A 6,000-nucleotide genomic window follows, 5' to 3' on the forward strand; every position below is an offset into this window, starting at 1 on the left:
TGCAGTGAGCCAAGATCGCGCCACTGCACTCCAGCCTGGGCAACAGAGCGAGACTCCGTCTCAAAAAAAAGAAAAAAAATATATAGATAGATAGAGAGAGAGAGGATAAGGTAAATACTCAAAAATCGATAGCATTTCCTATTTTCTATTGACCCAGGCTTAGGGAATACAATAATTTTTTTTGTTGTTGTTCCACTCTGTCGCCAGGCTGGAGTGCAGTGGCGTGATCTCGCCTCACTGCAACCTCCGCATCCCAGGTTCAAGCTATTCTCTTGCCTCAGCCTCCCAAGTAGCTGGAACTACAGGTGAGCACCACCATGCCCAGCTAATTTTTGTATTTTTGGTACAGGTGGGGTTTCATTATGTTGGCCAGGGTGGTCTCGATCTCTTGTCCTCCTGATCCACCTGCCTTGGCCTCCCAAAGTAAAATAATTTTATGAAGTACAATGAAACAAATACTTGGATAACTGAATTTGGGGGAAAGAAAAGGTTATTTTGAAATTTTAGGAAGAAAATAAATGAGTAAAAGAGTCATAATTTGCTTCTAATGTTAAAGGCTAAATGCAATAGAAATAACACTTTTCATATTAATGTACCAGTTAAAGCACTATTCTTTAATAAAAAGAGCCTTTTATTAAAGGCTCTTTAGGATTTTATAGAAGTTGATGACACACTGATAAAGAAATTACTTTGAAAAATAAAAGGTCAGACACCAAAAATATTAATGTGTTTATTTTACTTATTTATTTTTAAAGACAGTCTTACTCTATTGCCCAGGCTGGAGTGCAATGGCACAATCAGAGCTCACTGTAGCTTCCAACTCTGGGCTCAAATGATCCTCCCACTTCAGCCTCCTGAGTAGCTGAGACTGTAGGCATGCACCACCACACTTGGCTAAATTATGTTTAATTTTTATGCTAGAGTACCAATATCAGACACTGTTTTACAAAATGGAAACAATCCAAATCAGTAGTTATTAAATCAAATCCATGGAGAATGTAATAAAATAGATTTCAAAAGTAAATCCCAACTATCATAAGAATTTAGTATGTGACAAGTCAAAAGCAAAACAATTGCTAGTCCTGGCATGAAGGATTTGGATGAGGTGGAAGTCTGAGATATCTCTCTTGCTGTCAGCTGGATTCCATCAGGTGACAGGTTTCCTATGTAATCTGGGAGATGTGTCACAAGTGGCAATTAGAGATATATATTTTGGCAATTGGAGATATCTAGTGTTTTGTGGTTACTAGTAAAAAATAATTAAAGTAGTAATATTAAAATATTTTTAAAACGTGAAGTTCACTGATAAATGCCAAGTCAAACATTGGGGAGAACAAAAGTAAATCAGAGACAAAGTAGCAAGTGAGACACAGGAGGACTCAGACTATCCAGTCAGTTTTTACCAATCTTCCTTGCAAGTTACTTTGGATACATTTTATTCACATGTTCGTATATGAGTGAATTTCATCTGAGGATGTTTTAAAAACACCGATTGGCCTGGCCTGGGCACAGCGGCTCATGTCTGTAATTCCAGCACTTTGGGAGGCCAAGGCGGGTGGATCACCTGAGATCAGGAGTTCGAGACCAGCCTGGCCAACATGGTGAAACCCCTGTCTCAACTAAAAATTCAAATATTAGCCAGGTGTAGTGTGATTACAGGTGTGTGCCTGTAATCACAGCTACTTGGGAGGCTGAGGCAGGAGAATCACTTGAACCTGGGAGGCAGAGGTTGCAGTGAGCCAAGATCGTGCCACTGCATTCCAGCCTGGGCAATACAGTGAGACTCTGTCTCAAAAAAAAAAACAGAAAAAACAAAAAACTGATTGACTTCTGACAAAAAACAATTAACATTTAAGAAATATTTATGGGTCAATTCGTTTAATAATATGAAGGGATGGTACATCTCACACCATGTACATAAAAATAAGCTCTAGGATTCCTGCAGCAAGATAGCTGACTAGACACAGCCAGGAAGAACATCTCCCACCAAGGAAGCAGATCTTCAGAGGGAAGGCATTGAGAGGGGTTGGAGGGAAGACACAGAGGCTGGGCTGAATGGAGAAGAAGTTGGGAACCCTGTGTGAGGCTACCACTACTTCTTGCCTGTGAGTTCAACAGGCAAGAAGCAACTCTCTCATGCTATGGACCTCTGGAATCCCAGCAAGAGGAGACCCCTCTACCATTAGGGATACTGGAATTGGCAGGGAAAGCTGCTTAAGGAAGTGGTAGGGCCAGAACTCCAGCTGGAGAGCTGCTCAGAGGATTTGGTGAGGGAGTGTCTGGAGACGCCAGGGACACCCATCCCCCTAAGCTCAACTTACTCCCATAGGACACTTTAGCCCTAGGTGAACTGTTAGACCTGAACTCTGAATGGTGGTCTTACCCATGAGATGAGGTCAGTTGGACCTGGGCAGCTCTTGCTCTGCTGGCCTCTCCTGGGGCTCCAGCCTGGCTGTGCCTGCTTGCAGGGCAGACCCCAGGTACCTCTTGAGGTCTGGATTGTAGCTTCTGCACTGGCAGACCAGTCCTGACTAGCAGAGTGCTCCAGCAAAGCTGCCCATAAACACACAGCAGCCCACTTGGGCCCTCCCCTCACTGCAGCCTCCGCCATCTGCCTTGCCCGCAGGTACTTGCCCACAACCATTCCCTCTCCCCCCATCACTTTGCCAGTGTATGTGTGTACTAGAGGTCCTAGCCTTCCCTTCTCCACCAGCACACACATGCACATGCCTCCTACCATGCCAGTGCTGCCAGAGTGAGTGCACCCCGCTTCCCCCTCTCCCCACTGCACAGCCATTGTCATGAGAGTATTGGCAGCACAGGGCCCACTAGCGTTAACATGCACAGAGCATGCACACAGTCCTGTACCCGCCAGTGCCCTGCCCCTGTGCTAACACCACCACCAATGAGAACACATGCACAGTCACTGGCAGGAGCCCCACCCCCCTTAGTCATACTGCCACCACTGCTGCTGTAAACACTCACATGAAGGCCAGTACCCCAGCACCCACTAGCATCCTGCTGCAGCTGACCAGGATGTACTCTGTTGTGCTGCTGCTGACACTGCTGCCGACACGTGCAAAGAGGACTGATCTGACTGCCACTGCTCTACAAAGTGCTTTGGCTGGCACCATCCATCACAGTGTTGTGACCAGCAGTCTGGGAGCATTTTGGTCCCTCCAGTGCAACAGGTTCCCAACCTTGAGGAGCCAGAGAACAAAGCTAGGGTCTGATACCAGTCCCCTAGAGTTAGAGCATGCAGTCAGGAGTCCTGAGCTGAGCTTTGGCCCCCTAAAGCCTTCCAGTAATGAAAACAGTCCACTGAACCCTCCTTATACCACAATCAAACCCCCAAATAAGCCCAGAAATAAGGTTGCACACCTAAAACCATCTGATCTTCGACAATGCTGACAAAAACAGGCAATTAGGAAAGGACTCCGTATTCAATAAATTGTGCTGAGATAACTGGCTAGCCATATGCACAAGATTGAAACTGGACCCCTTCCTTATACCATATACAAAAATCAACTCAAGATGAATCAAAGACTTAAATATAAAACCCCAAACTATAAAAACCCTGGGAGACAACCTAGGCAATACCACTGTGGACACAGGAACGGGCAAAGATTTCATGATGAAGATGCCAAAAGCAATCACAACAAAAGCAAAAATTGACAAATGGGACCTAATTAAACTAAAGAGCTTTTGCACAACAAAAGAAACTACCAACGGAGTAGACAACCTGCAGAATGGGAGAAAATACTTGCAAACTATGCATCTGACAAAGTTCTAATATCCAGAATCTGTAAAGAAAAACAAACTTACAAGAAAAACAACCCCATTAAAAAGTGGGCAAAGGATATGAACAGACAGTTTTCAAAAGAAGACATACATGCAGCCAATACATGTATGAAAAAAAGCTCAATTTTACTGATCATTAGGGAAATGCAAATCAAACCACAATGAGATACCATCTTACATCAGTCAGAATGGCTATTTAAAAGTCAAAAAATAACAGATGCTGGCAAGGTTGCAGAGAAAAGGGAATGCTAACACACTGTTGGTGGGAGTGTAAATTAGTTTAATCATTGTTGAAGGTAGTGTGTTGATTCCTCAAAGAACTAAAAATAGAATTACCATTTGACTCAGCAATCCCATTACTGCGTATATATCCAAAGGAATATAAAATCATTCTATCATAAAGACACATGCACACATATGTTCATTGCAGCACTATTCACAATGGCAGAGACATAGAATCAATCTAAATGCCCATCAATGGGAGAATGGGTAAAGAAAATGTGTTACATATACACTGTGAAAAGGAATGAGATCATCTCCTTTGCAGGAACATGGATAGAGCTAGAGGCCATGACCCTTAGCAAACTAATGCAGGAACAGAAAACCAAATACCACAGGTTCTCACTTATAAGTTGGAACGAAATGATGAGAACGCATGGACAAAAGGAGGGGAATGACACACATGAGGGCCTACCAGAAGGGTAGAGGTTGGGAGGAGGAAGAAGAGCAGAAAAATAACTCTAGTACCTGCGTGATGAAATAATCTGTTCATCAAACCCCTGTGACACAAGATTACATATATAACAAACCTGCACATGTACCCCTGAACCTAAAATAAAAGTTAAAAAACAAAATAAAAAACCTAAATAGATGAAGACAAAATATTTTCAAAAGTCCATAAAGCAAATAAATTGTGTATCTATTCAACTTTGTTGGGGAAAAATAAGTTCTTCATCTTCAATGACATGTTGAATATTGGAAATCTTATAAGTATGCTTAAATAAATATAAGAAACTCAATTAGGTATAGCAAAATACATATCAGTTAGAAAGCAACAAAATATAAAACCATATGGCAAATCTTATAAGAATGTACCCTTTAAAGAAATGATACAAATATGCAAGACCAATAAATACCAATAAAACTCTTTTAGGATAATTTATAGAATGTGACTACACAGTAACCATGAAATTACTTAAAAAGTCAAAGGGTCAAAGGTAAAAAAAATTTACATCCTATAGGCTAAATGACCAGAGAAGATAATTTATTGACAAAGAAATATATAATCTAAGTCACAACATGAAAAATTTCCAATTTGGTAGCGATTAAAGCAAAGCAAAATAAAGATACAACCACATTTCTACATAATTATCCAAGATAAATCAAACCAACAACACAGCATTGGTGAATCGTTGGAAAATAAATATATTGCTGGTAGTCTTTGAGGACTTTGCTGAGAATCTACAGCAGCGGTTACAAAAGTGTTTGATGTAGCAATTTTGTTTTGAGCAATAGATCCTAAGTGGATGATATAAATGAAAACAAAAATCAGACGTATGTTTCTCTACAGTAGATATATGTTAGAGTACTGAAAATTGAAAATAACTCAACGATGGGTGGAATAATTGTTGAATAAACCATGATACTTTTTTCAAAATATATGTATTTTTTATTTCAATAACTCTTCCAGTACAAGTGGTTTTTGGTTACATGGATGAATTGTACAGTGGTGAAGTCCAAGATTTTAGTGCACCTGTCACCCCAATAGTTTACATTGTACCAAATATGTAGTTTTTTTATTCCCCACCTCCTACATTCTTCTGAGTCTCCAATGTTTCTTTGTTTTTTTTTTACTCAAATGGTTTTTATTTTCCTATCTGACATTTCTAACAAAACGCCAGGTAGACGGAGTTAAAAAGAATCCACCGCACGAAAGGTAAACAAAACAGACCCTCAGAAACTCCCTGGCAAGGATGTTCCCCTCCCCAGATTGGCCCAGTTTCACCAGCAACTGGTCTCAGCTCAGCCTTATGCCTTTCCACTGACAACCCCCACCCCTCCACATTCTCGTGATTCAGACCAGCTAAGTCTCCAATGTTTGTTATACCACTCTGTATGCCTTTATGTACTCATAACTTAGCTTCCACTTACAAGTGAGAATACGGTATTTGGTTTTTCATTCCTGAGTTACTTCACTTA

The sequence above is a fragment of the Homo sapiens genome, chromosome 9 (genome assembly GCF_000001405.40).
Source record: "Homo sapiens chromosome 9, GRCh38.p14 Primary Assembly".
NCBI classification, from domain to species: domain Eukaryota; kingdom Metazoa; phylum Chordata; class Mammalia; order Primates; family Hominidae; genus Homo; species Homo sapiens.